The sequence below is a fragment of the Homo sapiens genome, chromosome 4 (genome assembly GCF_000001405.40).
Source record: "Homo sapiens chromosome 4, GRCh38.p14 Primary Assembly".
Lineage (NCBI taxonomy): Eukaryota > Metazoa > Chordata > Mammalia > Primates > Hominidae > Homo > Homo sapiens.
The window spans coordinates 155,748,111-155,766,705 of NC_000004.12; the positions used below are offsets into that span (position 1 = coordinate 155,748,111).

Genomic DNA, 18,595 nt, shown 5'->3' on the forward strand with positions numbered 1-18,595 from the left:
TGGGATGAGAAGAGACTTCAGAGTTCCCGCCTATCTCCCATCTTTAGTTTAAGGGAGAATAAACCGAGTTCTGGACTATCAGTTCTTGCAATCTGGTTACCTCCCACCCTCCATTTCCATACCAATGGTAGCTTCTTCCCAGGAGGAGTTTTGCACTAAGAGCAGGAGTTTTGCACTAAGAGCAGGAGTTTGGCCATGCAGTTGCTAAAAGAAGCTCATTACTGTCACAGCTGGAAATAATCTGTGTGTAATTTCCTTATATTTGATTCCTGCTTAGGAATCTCAGGGAGTTCCCTGCACATTGGGTGCCATTTACTTTTCAACTTTGAGATCAGGTAAGAGAAAATCAGAGTACTATGAATTAGACTTCACCTGGAAACCAGACAGTGGACCTCTAAATGTGGCCCACCTGCTTGAGAGTCATTGGAGGGAGGGAGCACTTGTTAAAGTGCAGACTCCCGGAAACAACAACTTATTTATCAATTAAAACAGCAGAGTTGGGTTCCAGAGATCTGCATTTTAAAGAAATGCCCCAAGAGATATTTATCAGCATTTTCAATCCCAGGAGACTATTGCAGTACTTCCCTAAGGGTTGGGGTAACTCTATTAGTATTTGCCCACCGGATGGCAAGCTCTACTAATAGCTAACATTTCCATAACTTTGTGGATTGTTAGATAAGCATGTGAATTCATAATTTCCTTACTTCCTGGACCATGGACATATTTAGGGAGGCAGAGAAACACCAAGCTTCCTAGAACCCCTTCTATTTTGTTTGTTCCTGTCTCCTAGGCTCAATAGGTTAGAGCGACGAGTATGCATGATTCAGGACACTGAGGTAAGAACAGAAGAGATAGATATCCCCTAAAATGCCAGACCATACACCACAGGGTTACATCTGGGACCAAGGAGAAAGGATCTTTATTAAGAATCTGTGCCAGGAAATAGTAGCTAAGCCAGAAGATGAATACCAGAAGATGAATGATAGAATTGGGATCTAGAAAAGTCAATCAATTGGCTCATAGTGGTTTTACTGCATTGATACTCAAGTGTAAGCACTATGTTCAGTGTAATTTATGATAAGTAACAGTATTGATTTTCATTCATGGGTTACAAATGAGGTGTGACTCATCTTCTCCGGATTGTTTTTCCCTGCCCCAGAGATGAACACTTCCATGTGCCCCTTCACTTCTCTTTCCCAGCCTTACGGTTTCACGGATGGCTCTTTCAATGCTCATTCTCACCTCCCAGGATGAACTGCTTCCGTCTACACATTCCTGATGTTCAAATGTAACGAAAACATGGAAAGGTTAATTCATGTTGGGAAACAGATCAAGGACTTTGATGGTAGTAGAAGGAGGTTCTCTACCTGTGAGAAGGAAGGTAGGAAAAAAACTTTAGACCCTATAATGCACCTACCAGCACAAAAAGCAAAGATACTTTTTTAACTCCCCAAATCAAAAACGATTAAATAATGCTATCTCCTTGTAAAAAGTCACCCCAAATCGTGATACTTATGTAATATAGGAAGTACAACTAACCCAAATCAATGACATTTTGCATTCCCTTTTATGGAGGAAATGAGTAGAATTTACAAATAGTTTATGTTTCTCTCACCATCTCTTCAGTCATCTTTATGATATTGTGAGCTATCCAATATTTATGTTTCTTTTCCCTTTAAGTCAGCTATAGCTGGTTTCTGTTGCTGGTGATGCACAACTCTGGCTAATGGAGAAACCAATAATTTCCCTAATGATTAATCCTCGGGAAATGTACCTTCTTTTAAAGAAAGCTGTGGCTATCTGTGAGAGGGGAATCCTACCTTATATATAAGCAGCACCAGTATTGCCATTTTCTCAGTGAAACACAGCATGGCCAACAGTAGAATATGAGATTGACACACACAGTACTAGGATATATGTAGAAGTAGAGTGGGAGACTTTCCACTATTATTGATATTTCTGAAAGATTAACATAGAAATGTAACTTCTAGGTCTGCTTTGTCAGCTCAGACTGCTATAACAAAATACCATAGACTGGGTGGCTTAAACAACACAAATCAATTTCTTACAGTTCTGGAAACTGAGAAGTCCAAGATCAAGATACAGGCAGATCCAGTTCTTGGTAAAGTCCCGCTTCCTGACTTGCAGACGGTTATCTTTTTGATGTATCCTCACATGGTAGAGAGGAAGCTCTGGTCTCTTTCTCTTAATAAGGATACTAATCTCACCTTGGAGGGCCCATATCAATGTCTTATCTAAATAGAATTACCTCCCAAAGGCCCTAAAAACCATCACAGTGGAGGTTAGAGCTTCAACATATGAATTTTAGAAAGACGCAAACATTTAGTCCATACCCAGGTCCCTGAGATGTCTCAGAATTTGGGTTAGGAAAGCTACTTGACATACTGAATTAGTATCCTACTGCTGCTGTGACAAATTGTTATAATCTTAGTGACTTAAAAAAAAACAGAATTTTTTTAGCTTATAGATCTAGAGATCAGAATTCCAAATATCTAAGTGTCAGCATGGCTGCTTTCCTTCTAGAGGTTCCAAGAGGTCTATTTCCTTTCCTTTTGCAGCATCCAGAGGCCCTCTGCCTTCCTTGGTTCATGGCCTCTTCTTGGCATCATTGTGACCTCGGCTTCCATCATCAGACCTGCTTCTCTTACTTTGTCACTCCTGACTCTCCCTTATAAGAACTGTTGTGATTAAATTGGGCCCACTCAGAATTCAGGATAATCTTTGCATATCAATGTCCTTGACTTAATCACATATGCAAAGTACCTTTTGCTTTATAAGGTGACATAGTCACAGGCTCTGAGGATTAGGATATGGACATCTTGTCAGGGAAGACGTGTGGGGGTGGGAATTATTCTATCCACCATGGCATGCCTAGTGGTTACATAGGTAAGAGAATCCACATAAACCTCAGGACTCCCTAACTCAGTTTATTCCACCATTCCATTTTTTTCTTTTTAATGTGTAAAAACCCCTGGCTTCACTAAAATCAGCTTTACCTAGGATCAGACTAAAGAAACCGCAGATTTCCATTACAGGCCAAAAAAGTAGGTCTAAATCGCCTTAGAAATTATGAGCAACTTTTTTATTTCTCTCTTGGCAGGAATGAAAATGAAAGTAACAGATTGCAAGGAAGAAATAAGAGCAGTTCAATAAACAGAATGCACATTATTTTGGTAGACAGAATATAAAAACATACCTCAGGGTTGATTTTCATTTACTTCAGATAATAGAGTAGAACACATCTGGGGCTGCTTTGTTCTGCTGGCTTTGGTTCCTGTCTGTGGGACTGGAGTCACAAAAGAGGACGGGATCAGAAAACCATGGCTTAAATTATCTATGATGCCAGGATTGGATTTAAGCAAGTTATTTTATCGAAAACACAGCATATGTGAAAATGGATTATTTACATTTTTATAAACAGGATGCTTAAATGAATGATAAAAGTCACATTTACGGTGTATGTTCATCCGTTTTTACACTGCTGATAAAGACATACTCAAGACTGGGTAATTTATAAAGAGAAAGAAGGCTTAATGGACTCACAGTGCCACACGGCTGAGGAGGCCTCACAATTATGGCAAAAGGCAAAAGGCACATCTGACATGGCAGCAGACAAAAGAAAGAATAAGAACCAAGCCAAAGGGGTTTCCCCTTATAAAACCATCAGATCTGGTGAGACTTACTCACTACCATGAGAACAGTATGGGGGAAACTGCCCCCGTGATTCAATTATCTCCCACAGGGTCCCTCCCACAACAGGTGGGAATTATGGGAGCTGCAATTCAAGACGAGATTTGTGTGGAGACACAGCCAAACCATATCACCATGTATCAATCACTGTAATATGTCCTTTATAGATATCATCACATTTAATCTCTGTAATTGCTTTATTTTCAGGAGAGAAAACTAAGGTTTAGAGACGTTCAGCAATTTGTCCACAGCAGGGCCAAAAGCTAGAATACCATTATGAGTACCACTCATGCTCTTATCTCCTTTGTGGTATTTTCTTATTTTAAGAATGTTTAAAATTCATATAATTCAAATAGAGAACCTGATAATAAAGACAGAAAATTAAATGTACATTATATATTACTATACATAAAATGCTTTCGTAAGTGTTAACTCTTTTGATCCTTACCAAAAACCCTACAAAACCCTATATAAGTTGCTATTTGTATTACCTTATTTTTACAGACAAGAAAAGTAAAGTTTAGGGAAATGATGTGAATTCTCCCAATTTACATATCTATAATGTTGCAGATATTTATCTTCTAATTTCTTTCCACTCTACTAGGTGTTATAACAAAAAACACCAACTGTTGATTCTCGTGACACGTAAAGGAAAAAAAAATGATATCTTCAGGAAAGAGTTGTGGGTTTGGGTTAGGTGATCTGCAATGGGTCAATGAGGCAAGTGAAGACCCTGATTAATGTGTGAGCCCCTCACTGCTCTGGGCTGCAGGTCCTCATGTGCAAACACAGCAACATACTATCTACCTGATAGAAAACCATAAGGAATAACCCCTGTGAAAGTACTTTGTAAACCACAAAGGTTATTTAGAGGTAAGGTCTCCTGTTTTTTGTTTTTGTTTTAACTACAAAGCATTAGAATCATTCCACTGGAACAAATATTGCTTTACTTTCCAATTTTTTCAATAGGGTATTGATGCTTCTCAAGTGAAGTATCATTAATGGTTCCTTAAATGTGGCCAAACCAGTTTAAGTATTTTTGTTTCCATATTTTAGGTTGATATTTTGATGTTTTTTGTCACATGGGGGAACTATCATGTGGAGACACTGTAAGTCATAGTTAAAGATCCTTCAAAATATATTCTAAATGGCATTTTATTACAGATGTATGTTTTATAAGCATACCAGTAAATACACTCAATGCAATTCTTTTGCTTCAAATGTCAATAAAACTTAGTAAGATTTTAATACATTAGCATAAGCTAATTTTAACTTTTTATGTTGCTGATGAAGCACCCATTCAGGAAAAAAAAAGCTCATGCTTTATGTAAACATATTAATGGACAATTTATCTCCTTTTCATTATTTTTACTCATGCTATATTTGTTAGAAAACTGATAATATAGTTGTATGTTATGAATCTAGTTAGATTTGGATTTTATTTTCAACAACAACAACAACAACAAAACCAGTAATCTGAACATGAAAAGTCGATGTAGGCAAGAGATTTTCTTGCAGATTGTCAGTTGTCACTCAATGTTTCATATGTGAGTCCTTGGCTTATTGTTACTAACTCCAAACAATCGGTAACAGAGTTATGTAGTCCTTTAAATTTTACAAGAAGCTTTCGAAGATGTCTCATTTGATCCTCTTAGTATCTTAGTTGAGCAAGGTGGGCCAGGCAATGCTATCACCATTATAAAATGGGAAGTTCCAGGCTCAGACAGGTTGAATTGCCAAGCAAGTAACTGACAAGGGTGATCTAGATCTTTTAGTTTGACATGGTGCAGCTCTTTTCACTATGCATTCACTGTCAGTGGACATATTACATTTATATAAGGTGGACAAAAGGGGTTTAGTTTCATTAATCATTGACTTCAAACACAGCAATAACAACCACCACCTCAAAAACAATATTAACTAACAGTTTGTGAGGACTTAACATTTTGCAATCATTGCTTTAAGCATCACACTTGCAAACCTGTGGGGTAGGTAATATTTTTAACCTTCTCAGCACTGGAGTATATTGATCTGTTATTTTTCCTGTTTTACAAGTGAGGAAACTGTAGTTCAAATACATTAAGTAATTTGTCCAATGGTTGAAAACAGGCAGTCTGACTAAAGAATCTGTACAATTAACTCCTACACTAAACTGTCCCCATAGCTAATTTTTGTTTTTTAAATCAAATAAAGTTACAAAAAGAAGCAACCAAATATTTTAATTAGTGGCTCTTATTCCCTGCTATTTTCTATTTATATCTATAATAATAAGTAGTTTCAACATAGACTAGAGAAGAACATTATTTTAATATAGTATCTAGAGGCTTTTGAGAGTTATGGACAGCTTTTGAAATCTAGATTCCAACTTCCACTGGGCGAGACTATGGGAAAGAAAGTATATTTAGCTCTACTTTGATGGGAATCTTAATATCCTCCACACTTTCTGAGGACAACAATTCATAACTTTACTAATTATACTTCTTGGCTAAGATTTTAAGTTTTCACTGTTCCCCAACAAGTTCATAAAGAGATTTCCAGATATAGGAAAATATCATTGACTAAATGACCTCCAAAATACCTTTCAGTGCTCAAAGTCAATCAATCTTTGACATAATCATGTTAGATCTATCCTTAATAAACTAAAGAAAAAGATTAAGATAATCTCTCCCAGCCATGTACAAGCTTAGGCTGTAAAGAAGATGAAAACAAGTTAGTTTTTATTTTAATCAATTTGACTTCAGAAGCAAAACTTTATAGCTCAATCTGGTATTCATAAGCTTTTCTTGAAAATGAAACATATTTTTATTTAATTTCATATACTCCCAGTATGTTATAGTGATGTGTTGATTTAACTTAATGCTTTTACTTATTATAACATTGATACTAAGCATCATCTTTAATTCTCTTTTAATTTCTTTTAATTTTCATACATAATTGTTTAAACCTTATAAATAAATGGATATACATATATATGTATGCATGACTAATGTTTTTTGTTTATAAGTTCTGATGGCAAGGTAAATATTAAAAGAATTTGATGTAGAAAAAAGTAATTTAAAAAGTGCTTCTTTTAATATTCAATACTACCTTTTTCATATGACAAAACTTACAGTTCATTGGCAAGTTAACAATAAATCTGAATGTCACTTCTTTAGGAATCTGAATTCTTGGATCTCTCTTTGTTCTATTGATCTAGAATCACATCACCGAATGTGTCATTTAGAATTTGCTTTTCTCTTTGCTTGTAAGTATTCTGAATTCCTTGCTTGAAGTATTGAGTGACTATATTAGCAAAAATAATGACAACAGATGTGATTATTGTGCGACTAACCAAGACCAGCAGCAGAAGCTTCACAAAGAATCAATATTCGGCTCTTAGCCACAGAGATTAAAGAGGCACATGAATATAAAGCAAATCATTGTATAAGAAATAGTTGAAATGAAATGACATGCTGCTCCATAAAATGATCTAAAAATGGAAGCCACAGAAAAAACTGGCAAAACACCAGAGCTTTGACAAACACATGCACAGACCTGGGAACACCCCCAAATATATATGTATCTTCCTTTATCCTTAATCAAAGGTTTCTAATTTTCACATTAACTAGCAAAGCCTTGAAAACAATGATTACAACACTTTATTTATTTATTTATTTTTGAGACGGAGTCTCGCTCTGTCACTCAGGCTGGAGTGCAGTGGCGCAATCTGGGCTCACTGCAAGCTCCGCCTCCCAGGTTCACGCCATTCTTCTGCCTCAGCCTCCCAAGTAGCTGGGACTACAGGAGACCGCCACCACGCCCAGCCAATTTTTTGTTATTTTTAGTAGAGACGGGGTTTCACCGTGTTAGCCTGGATGGTCTCGATCTCCTGACCTCGTGATCCACCCGCCTCGGCCTCCCAAAGTGCTGGGATTACAGGCGTGAGCCACCGCGCCCGGCCGATTACAATACTTTTAATACTTAACTTACCAAAGTAATTTATTTTTATTCGCTGAAAATGTGAGTCACTTCAGCTGACATTTCTGAAAGCCACATATTGCCTTTTTACTTATTGTTCATTCATTAGACTGAACTTCATGTTGATTTTAGGGCTGGCTAAGCCATTCCCTAAGCTCTTCTTTTTCATCTTTAACTGATCCTCCTCAGCTTGGGGCATACATACAAGAATGCAATGCATTGTTCAGAGAATATAGCATAATCTACTTCCTGATATGATTCCTATGCTACTTGGCCAGCAGTGATGACAACAGGTAGGGAGCTTTTATAGAAGAATGGTGACCCCTCTTTTGAGATCCTCTACAGCTGGCAGGCATCCTTCTGTCCCTGAACATCACAGCCTGTGTAATATCTTGTAGGCCAAACAAAAGTCAGTAAATGTTTAGTGTCTAGAACTTCTTTTAGATTCAGAATGAATATAAGACAATTGGAAAATAAAACAGTAAAAACATTTACAAATGCAAAAATGTGTTGGACAAAAACAACAACAAGTGCAAAAAGTTATTGGACAAAAGGGAAAGTGAGGGTAGAAGAACTGAAATAGAGAGAAAGAGACAGAGAGAAAGGGACATTGGCAGAAATGCTCATTATTCATTTCCTCTCATATCTTTCTCTAAGTGAGCTTTCCTCATTTTTCATTCCCAGAGAACAATTCAATCTCCTTATCTTTTGCCTATGTAAAGTTTAAGGTGGAGGACACCACAACACACCGTAAACCAGAGAGCATGGGTCCATTGCTGCTCAAAGGTGAACAGATAAGAGACATAGTTTTTTTTTTTAAGTTTTTTTAGCAAGTTAAAAGTTATTTTATGTATATTATTAAAAAGTCAAATAACAACAGATTCTGGCAAGGTTATAGAGAAAAGGGAACTCTTATATAGTGCTGGTGAGAATGTAAATTAGTTCAGCCATTGTGGAAAGCAGTTTGGTGATTTCGCAAAGAACTTAAAACAGAAACATCATTTGACCCAGCAATCTCATTATTGAGTATATACCCAAAGGAGTATAAATCATTCTACCATAAAGGCACATGCATGCATATACGTTCATCACAGCACTAGTCACATGGAATGAAATAAACTATTCACAAAATGAATACTTGTGAATATATGTGAATTAATATGTGAATTCACTATATGCAAAGACATGGACTCAATCTAGATGTCCATCAGTGGTAGACTGGATAGAGAATGTGGTACATATATACCATGGAATACTATGCAGACATCAAAAAGAATGAGATCATGTCCTTTGCATCAACATGGACGGAGCTGGAGACTATTATCCTATGTAAATTAACAGAAACAGAAAACCAAATACCACATGTTCTCACTTGCAAGTGGGAGCTAAACACGGAGTACACATGAACACAAAGAAGGGGACAATGACCACTGGGGCCTACTTGAGGATGGAAGGTGGGAAGAGGGTGAGGATCAAAAAACTATTTGTTGGGTACCATGCTTAGTGCTTGGGTGACAAAGTAATCTGTACACCAAACCCCCAAGACATGTAATTGGCCTATATAACAAACCTGCATATGTGCCCCTGAAACTAAAATAAAAGTTAAAAAAAATTCAGTTATGTAACAGTAAAGAAAATTCATCTGTGTAGAAAAATAATCAAAAGATACAGAAAGTTATAAAAAGTAAGAGTCATGGCCATTCCAGCCACTGGTTCTAATTACAGACGATAGCCATATCAACACTTCCTGTGTTTCCTCCCAAACCATTATTCTTACAGCAACATGTATGTGCCTGTGTTATTACCCACATAGCACCTTACTGTATACTAACTCTAAAAAATGGAAAATGATTACATTCTTGTGGTGTTTTGTAAACCTGACAATACTTTTCTGCATCATCATTTTCTAGTCACCCTCCTGCTTTTTCATGGTTGTTTAATGTGCCATTTTAATGGTTCAAAATTAGTGGTTAATTGTTGTTAAATAATGATTAATGTTTTAATAGTTGTTTAAAACAAGGTGTTAGATTGTATGAAAGGCTGTAATCTATTTACTCATTCCACCAATAATGGAAATTTTTAAAGTAATTTGTTGTTTTGTTTGTTTGCTACATGCCACTATTTCTGTATCAGTTTCCTTCATCATAGCTCTCTCGGTGCTGATGTCAGCACAATCTTATTGTTTTGACATTTTTCTCTAACCATATTGAGACTGTTCTCACAACAAAATATGCACATCTTAAAATACCATCTGGCTTCTCAGGTCCACTTGAGACTGGTGACCTCACTTTTGACCTTGCCCTAAAAGTCAACTGGAGTCCATATACCTCAGGTACAAACAGCTTTAATAAGCTGCCACTTCCTGTTCCTCTCATCTTCTCTCTATGGCAGGACTCAGAGCATTAACTAACCTAAGGGCCTGGTAGAATGTAAGCTGGAGGTAGAGTAGTTAAAGTCTGTGCATTTTGTACTGGTCATTTTCCAGTTCGTCTGTTGCTAAGAAACAGCAACAGAGGCCCGCTCTAGAGGGTTACAAACTCCCTGGAATTATGGCTCCCGGACATGGTGTAGGGAAAGGTGTCCCACAGGGATCAAGCCTAGAATATCGCTGGATCTTGTACAGTTTAGTAAAGGGCAGGACTGGATTTAACATAACGTCCACCAAACTACATTACTGAAAATTTTTGGTGCTTCACTCAACTAGTCTCATTGACTAGAAGTGAAAATATGTTTTTCTCAATATTACCAGCTTTAAATTTGCCATAAACTGTTGTGGGACCAAGCCACAGAGGAAATGTTTTTCCGCTAGACAAAGATAAGCATGAGGATGCCAGCAACAGAGGATATTCCTTTTAAGGTCTGTCCATTGCAAAGTACACACGTACACGCTCACACAACAAACACGCCCTGTTCCCTTTTGCTTGTGTTAACCACTGAGGGCAGATCTCTGAATAATAATACATTTAGTGGGTCCACAAGAGCTGCATTTCCTCTGCTCCAGAATTCATGCAAGGAGCACGGCTGGGGCTTCTCCACTGTCATTGTTATGGCCTCAAATGAAGGCCTTGTCACCAGGCGGGGGCGGGAAGGCACTGGAGCGCAGCAGCATTGAGAGCATCCGAATTCCCTCCTCTGTCCCTGATTGGTTGAAGAACTGGGGAGCACCGACCAGCCCCCTGCGGCTCGACTCGCCATTGGCTGGGAAGAGGTGGCAATCAGGGCGGGCCAAGGCGGCTGTTCTCGCTCCAGCTCGATGCTGCCTCCCCGGCCCGGTTGCGCTGTAGCCGCTGCCGCCTCTGCCTGGGTCCCTTCGGCCGTACCTCTGCGTGGGGGCTGCCTCCCCGGCTCCCGGTGCAGACACCATGGTAAGTGCTCTCAGCCGGGTGCGGCCCGAACCTCACCCCTCCTCGGCCGGCCTGGCAGCGAGGGAACTGGCCGCGCAGCCGGAGCTTGGCTCGGGGGCCCTGGGCGCTCACTGCCGGCCACGGGAGCAGCCTCACTCCTTGCCCGCGCCCAGTCAGGGGAGGTGGGAACGCCGCGAGTCGTGGCGGGGGCGATCGGTGCCTTTGCTTCCCAGGCGGGTTTGCCGCTCCACACCGCAGCTTCCTGAGCTCGGGAAGGGGAGGTGCGGCGGAGGCGTGGGGTCTTCCCGGCTCTGGCCGGCCCCACCAGTGTGGGAGGCTGAGCGCCAGCGGAAGGGAAGGCTCCGGGTTCGCGTCCCCGCGCTGCCCCCGATGCCCAGCCTCTCCCGGAGCGGTGACAGGTGAGGAGGGTGGGAAGATAGCGTGGGGGTGGGGCGGATGGTGACGGGGAGAATCCACCAGGGATTGGGGGGTTGCGCCCCCACGATCCGACTCCTTTAGTGCATAGTACCCCTAAGGGAGAGGAGTCAGGGGCGGGGTGAAAGGTTAAGCCAGCGCCATGGGAGCAGAGGCAGCAGCCTCGCCCCCAAGCCGCTTCTCAGGTACAGCGGGTCCCTGACGCTCAAGTCTCTCCCTGTCCCCGCAGTACGGATTTGTGAATCACGCCCTGGAGTTGCTGGTGATCCGCAATTACGGCCCCGAGGTGTGGGAAGACATCAAGTAAGTGGCCGGCTACCCTGGCTGTGGCCCAGGTCGGCGCCCAGTGTGGGAGGCCCCCCGCGCCTCGCCTGGTCCTCAGCCTGCTGGCCGGGTCGCGGGCGCGCATCCTTGGAGGTGCCTCCGCGCCTCGCTCCCGGCTCGCTGCAGCTGCGCTCCCACGCTCCGGGACTGGAACCAGGAGGGGAGGGGCGGCTGGGGCGGGGCTGCGAGGGCGAGAACCGCGGAAAGGAGCCCCTAGGGGTCACCACGGCTTCCCGACCCGGCCTGAGCGTGGGAACGCGCTGCCGGCGCTCCCAGGCTCAGCAGGCCGGGCAGCTCCCACGCGTGCAGAGCCCCGAGGGACCACACGGGCCTCCGCGAGGTTCCTGCGCCCGGAGGCCTTAGAAACAAACGGAAGACTTTGGCTCCTTTATGATTTACACACCTGGCGTAAGTTAGGCCTTTTTGGTATGCTGAAACACGCGGGAGATTATTTCTTGAGCAACAGTGAATTAAGCGCATTTATTCATTTTTAAATAAAGTGAAAATTGGAAGTTTTTTGTTTTCCCCAAATCCCACTGCCCACCCCCCCCGCCCCAACCCCTATCCCCCGTTTTTTTCTACTGTGTTGAAGACTTAACAGTTCTAGGAGGCATTCTACTTTCAGTCCTGGAGCTTTGAGCCCAGTACTGGGGATGTGAACGGAAATACCACACCCACCTGAGAGTTTAAACCTGTTGGAATGACTGATGGGTCAGCATGTCTGCAGGCAGGTTGACTATTTCACTCTAATAAAGTTGTCTCTCCTTTTTCCTCTCACTCTCAAAAAATTTGCATTTAACTTATGGTACAGCTGACCACCACCAACTAGCTACTCCAAAACCCTATTTATGGATTTTCATATTAGAGCAACAGTCAGACTATCACATTGTAACAAAGGTGGAAGGAAGGGTTTCCTGGGTGGGCAGATGGGAATACACTGTTATTATTCACTCTGATTTCCTGTACTTAGTGATTTCATTTTGTTGTCTCAGGTAGGTGAGGCTTCCATGCTGTTTTTCCCTAAGCACATTACAATTATTAGCAATCAATTCTAACAGGCCTTATTATGCAGTTACATGATGGTGATTTCTCATAACGATCTGTTTCCATAGAAATGACCAGGGTTATATATTAAGCACGAAAATGTAACTTTTCTTTCCCCTGGATCTGTATCACTGAGCGTTTCTTTCATGTTTCAGAAACCATTTGTATTATCCACAGGGCATATTACCTACATATTATAAACAGAAGCCGAGATTTGGCAAGTATGTGGTTGAATCCAATGAGAACATAGGCACCAAAAGTTACTTTAGGATTTGAATTTTCTGGCCATCTTAATACCATTATAATTTTTATTTTGCTTAGTAGACAGATATCAACAAGGCAGACATCAAAAAAAGATTGTTAACAGTATAACTTAACTACCGAATTATTTTTAAGCCACTTCCTTTGTAAATTTATAAATGCTATATATATATATATTCTCCATATGATGCTTTTGCATCTGTAAGATAGAAATTCCCAAATTTGCTGGTAGATATGCTATGACAATGAATATGCTTAGAATTTTTAGAGCAGAATAAAAGATGGCTATTATGATTAAACAGTCATTATGTAATTTAACCAGATTTAGATTGTATATCCTAGCCATTATCAGTTTAGATCACTGTTAAATACAGAGATGAAAAATAATACTTTATAGAGTAATGTATCAGACATTTTAAAAAGTTAAAATTATCCAGAGATTTGTTTATATTGCTTATATTTTCCCAGAGGAAGTCCAAATATGTAAAGATTCAATTGACGAGAATTTAACTCTGCAAAATCAAGCTGAGAATATTGTTCCATTCTACTTTAAAAAATTATTTATTAACTTACTAATTTATCTTTAAGTAGCTTCCAACAGTATTCATAATTTGTCTAAAGGATAAAAATTCCAATCATCCACAACACAATTTTTCTGGTAAAAATGAAACAAGTTATATTGGTCTTTTCTTAAATAAAATTGCCTCAAGGTTATGCCCCTGCAAGGGAAAAAGTGTTAGTCACACTGGTGTTGGTAATCCAGGTGTTAGTGTTGATTCTTTATTTGTCTAAGCATCTTTTGGTGGACCCCAGCTGATCTTGGGTGTGGTTTAGTGTCTGGGCTAGAGAACATGGTTGAACTCTCTGCACTGAGGGCATTAAAGCTGCTCCTTGGTTTCCAACCCAATACCCCTGAGTAATTACTAAATGCTCCCTGGGAGAGCATTTGCTTTCCACAGAAAAGAATCTTGCTGCCTGGGGAGAGGGGAGGAGAACCTGGAGGAGTGTAATTGAAAAATGCTCCTTGGGTGATTCTGGTTCCTCCTCCCCTCCCTACCCTCTGCTTCAGGGAATATTAAAGCAGTCATTGGTCCAAGATGCTTTCAGTTTTAACTTTTATAAGAAATTGAATATAAGAGGAAAAACATTTTTTTTTGTCTCAGTAAGTACCAAACTCTTATTTTTTCTTTTGGTCTTTGAGAAACTATCTAAATTGATGTTTATACAAATTTACATTATACTTTTTTGCTTCACTAGGAAATGGCCATCCATCCTTCATGAGAAAGGATGGGAAAAGATGCCAAACATTTAATGACAAATAAAACCCTAAGTAACAGATTCCAGACAGCAGACAGAAAATTCTAAGTGGATAAGGGCCAAAAATGCTTCATTGTAAACTCAGTATCCACTTACACTCTTACCAACAATATAACCATTTCACAAAAGCTTTGAATTCCTCTTAAGAAGAAGAAAAATTGTCTAGACCAAGGGCCAGCAAACTTTCTCTTAAAGGGCCAGATAGTAAATGTTTTAGGTGTTACAGGCCAAGGTAAAACTGAGGATATTATGTAGGAATCAATATAACTATTAAAAATATAACCACTTAAAAATATTAAAACCATTGTTAGCTCTTGGACCAGGAAAACGCAAACAAACAACCAAACCAGACAAAGTGGGCTACATGTGATCCATGGGCTATAGTTTGATGACCTCTGATTTAGACCATAACAAATGTGAAAAAGCAAAAGAGACCTCTGAATCCATTTCAAAGTTTTTTTTGTTGATTTCATTTCAATATTCAAATAGTCCTTTTAAGAGGCTATGATTTCTAAGTAATGACAAAAAAATTATCAGGGTAGAAAATAAATAAAGTTAGGAGTGATACATCCTAGAAAAGCACCTAAATACTTGATTTCCCATCTCTGTTATCCTTCCATCAGCCCTGACTAAACTCATCATTGCGTCAAATTACTGGGTTTAATTTTAGATTTTTTCTCTGCTTTCTTTCCATATTTTTTCTGGGTAGCAGCGGAGGGAAGCAGTTAGAGACAGGTCTTGCTGTGTGCCCAAGCTGGTCTCAAACTCCTGTCATCAAGTGATCCTCTTGACTCGGCCTCCCAAAGTATTGGATTATATGCACCACCACACCCAGCCCAACTTTAGATTTTTTAACCTCACTGAAACATACAAATTAGGAAGATAGATCCAAAACACTGAAAAATCCCAAATGATTAAAAGTCTGTAAAGAAAGTACACTGTCCTGACTTAAATAAATCAGATAAAACGTTTATCTTTAATGAGTATAGTCAAGTGTTTTAGGCACTGAGGATAGAAAAGCAATGATGTAATCCTTACCTTCAAAAAAAAAATTCTAGAGATTTCATGATATTTTAGTCTTATTATTTTGTTTTTATTTTCCTGCCTATAACTCAAATACGGTAACCTTTTGTCTGTTGGATAGCATATACTTCCAGTTTTGAAATTAATGTGTCTTGTTAAATTTGCTAATCACAAATTAATCATTATGGTTCAAATAAGGAAACACTTTGCTATAAACTAGTTATGGGACTTTCCAAGTTGCCTAAACTTTCCAATCCTCCATTGCATAGAGGAAAAAATAATACTTCACAGAGCTGATGTAATGCATTGAATAATGTCTGCAAAATGCTTAACATAGTTCTTGACAATAGCTTAATAAATGATGATTTTTTTTTATTTTACTCTAGAATCAGAGTTTTTAAACTTTCCGTTCCCCAATTTACTTGAAAGATATTAAGCCCTCCTTTAAAAAATATTATTGCAGTCTATATTCTATCAGTCTAAATTTTTTTTATCACTCTAGGATAAGTAATCATCATCATCATCATTTTTCATCATTTTGTTTTGAAATGCAACAAATGCTCTTAATATCCATTGTATCAAAGCAAATTAAAACAAACAAAAGAGCACATCACCATGTTTTGCCGTGTTTATTCAGATTTTCATATTTTTGAAGGTGTGATTTAAACTTCTATACCTTTCTGTAGATCTGCTTAAGTAGTAATGAGCCTATGTATGTTTTAAAGTAGTAAGGATACTTTATATTATAAAGCAATTTCAAATTTCCAAAGTTTTGTTCTCTCTATAATTTTGGTTGACTGCTACAACATCCATTTGAAATAGGAAAGGACTTTACAGCTCAATTTTTTTAATAACAAAGTTGGTTTTCCAAGAGGTTAATTCCCATATGTAATTACTTACTGTCCCAGAGAATTACATATAGGAAACTGAAAAGTCAGAACTTCAGCCCTTGTTCTTCTGTTGCCAGGTTTAATGCTTCTTTTAAGATATAACTGTGAAATAGGAACTAATGTAGTATACATACAAAAATGAAACCACATTTATTTTCTTACCCAGAAACTTCCTCAGTACAAATAAACACATTAATATACAGACTAAGGAAACAAGTAAACCAGATCATTGTTAGGATCAGGATCCTTTTCTGTAGAAAGATCTGCCAGTTAGCCTGAAATACAGAGGAAGGCGTTGCATTGTATTGTGTGTTGGCTGTTAAGCTTACTAATGTTTGAAGTTATCTTTTGCAGCTGGAACTGGATGCCCAAGTGTATACTCCATCACATACCTGCTATTGAGCTCTTTGCATAGGGCTCTTCCAGAACCTGGACCATGTCTGTGAGCAGCATGGCAGGCACCTAGGTGATAAGGCGGGTCATCACATGATCTCAGGGAGTTTGTGGGTGTTTCTTTTGAGTTTTATTTTGGTTCTGATGATCTGAGGTATCCCCCAGAAATCAAGCTGGGTCTTGGAGTCTTTATTTTCCTTGCATTCTGTGATTTTTGAGAATTAAAAAAAAAATCAGAGGAGTACATCACTTAATTTGGCGTGTCGGAAGGATCTTTGCACATTACGGTGAGCATCAGAAATCAGAAAATCTGTATTCTCACTCTTAATGTACCCAGATCTAGTTTTGGCAAACATTTACTAAGCATTGTTATGATTTGCAAGAACAAAGTCCTTTCTACTTTCTTGCCTTTCTCCAGAATAAGGGGCTCTAGCAAATGTTTCTCTTTAATGTGTTGGAAAACTATAGTTATGGGTTGATGCTCTGCAGACATCAATAGGAAAACACACTTAAGGAAATGAATGCTATAAAGAAATCTAACTGGCTAGATCCGAGGGTGACAGCTCAGCAGACGTGAGTACTTGCAGCTTTTTCATTCTCTCCTTTGCCTCCTTGTTCGTTAAAGAGGAAATGGTGGGAGAAAAAATGTCTTTATTGTTTATGTCTAGCAAAATGAAGCATCTTTTTCTGTGTCAAACTATATCAAAAGATAGTGAAGTTAAAGTGGATTTTATTCCAGGTAAAAGTAGACATTCTGAAGTATTTATTGGACCTCCTCGTTACTGTGGCTTTGGTTCTGTTGCATATTCTGGTCTACTTCCCCTTCATTGTTGAATCATGAAATATGAAATTGTTAAATTTATTGAAATTCTTTGTGGTCAATCTTCAGATAACCCAAACATGGAAACCTTTCACTCAACTTGTCCTACATACCCTTAGCATTCCAGCCCCATGGGCCTGTTTTTAGTTTCTCAGCCATACCGAGCCTTAAATGTGTCCGTTTAACACCTGTGCTTGCTATGGTCTCCTTTTCTTCACCCTCCCAACCCTCCTGTAAATGTAAACACCTCTCAGCTTTGAGATGTCAAAGCAAATGTCACTTCTTAAGGGAACCTTCTCTCACATCCAAACTTTTCCCTTTCCTTCATAGTGCTGTAATGCAAGAGTTTGTACTTAGTATTTGTACTACTGATTAATGTCTATCCTCCATGACAATAGCCTCCATAACTCTTTCTAGAGTGCTCTCTCTCTCCCTCTCTCTATGTATTCAATAAAATATCAGGCTCTCTTTCTGTAATAAAAATATGGATGTTTATATGTGAATGAAGTATCTTTCACCTTTTTCATTTCCAAAGAATAGAGCACACACATATTTTTATCAAAGATTCTTCTCTGCAACCAGAATTTATGTCAGCATGGTGACATATTCAACTACTATTTAAATATAAGCTGTTTTCAAATAGACATTTCTTTTTCTCCAAGATTTATTGAGATATAATTGACAAATAAAAGTTATATATATTTAAGGTGCACAACTTCATGTTTTGATGTACATATACATTGTGAAATAATCACTGTAATCAAGCCAATTGCCATATTCATCACCTCACATAGGCACCCTCTTTTTTTGTAGTGAGAACACTTAAGACCTCCCCTCTTAACAAATTTCAAGTATTCATTATAGTATTGTTAACTGTAATTGTTCATTGTAATTGTTAATAGTGACATTGCTGTGCCAAATAAACATTTCTTATATCAGCAAAGGCAGAAGATAGAGCAATATAGCAATACATAATAGCAATTCCTTTTGGAAGTGTCAGAGTTCTTTTATGTTTTCTCATGTCATGTGGATGTATTGGAAGGACTAAGAACTCTATTGTTAGAATGACAATTTCA

General features: G+C 38.9%; 1 protein-coding gene and 1 long non-coding RNA gene across 10 annotated transcripts in view, besides 2 other annotated features; one reads left to right on the plus strand and one right to left on the minus strand.

Annotated features, from left to right (window-relative positions):
* Window positions 1–10,305, minus strand: part of LOC105377506 (uncharacterized) — a 33,998-nt gene extending 23,693 nt beyond the window's left edge. The window contains exons 1-3 of one of the 2 annotated variants that reach the window (XR_007058484.1): window positions 10,080–10,305; window positions 3,218–3,307; window positions 1,243–1,275 (exon numbers count right to left, since the gene is read on the minus strand). This is a non-coding gene — a long non-coding RNA (uncharacterized LOC105377506). Of the gene's footprint in view, window positions 1–1,242; window positions 1,368–3,217; window positions 3,308–10,079 lie in introns of both variants that reach the window. The other variant, XR_007058483.1, reaches the window with a different exon arrangement.
* Window positions 10,306–10,910: 605 nt separating this feature from the next.
* The window catches only part of GUCY1B1 (guanylate cyclase 1 soluble subunit beta 1), a 48,791-nt gene continuing 41,106 nt past the window's right edge, over window positions 10,911–18,595 (plus strand). For 5 of the 8 annotated variants that reach the window (NM_001291952.3, NM_001291951.3, XM_011531901.2 and 2 more), the window contains exons 1-2: window positions 10,911–11,033; window positions 11,677–11,750. Coding sequence is in view for 4 of the 8 variants with exons in the window: in NM_001291951.3 (NP_001278880.1) it covers window positions 11,031–11,033; window positions 11,677–11,750 (77 nt within the window). In the remaining 4 variants the exon portion in view is untranslated. Of the gene's footprint in view, window positions 11,034–11,245; window positions 11,432–11,676; window positions 11,751–18,595 lie in introns of all 8 variants that reach the window. The other 3 variants (XM_017008131.3, NM_001291955.3, NM_001291953.3) reach the window with 2 other exon arrangements.
* Window positions 11,089–11,238: a silencer, noted in NCBI's record as "silent region_15769". NCBI's record gives its function as "represses an Ori minimal core promoter by ATAC-STARR-seq in GM12878 lymphoblastoid cells {active_cell/tissue: GM12878}" and the evidence as "EXISTENCE:reporter gene assay evidence [ECO:0000049][PMID:35858748]".
* Window positions 11,689–11,958: a silencer, noted in NCBI's record as "silent region_15770". NCBI's record gives its function as "represses an Ori minimal core promoter by ATAC-STARR-seq in GM12878 lymphoblastoid cells {active_cell/tissue: GM12878}" and the evidence as "EXISTENCE:reporter gene assay evidence [ECO:0000049][PMID:35858748]".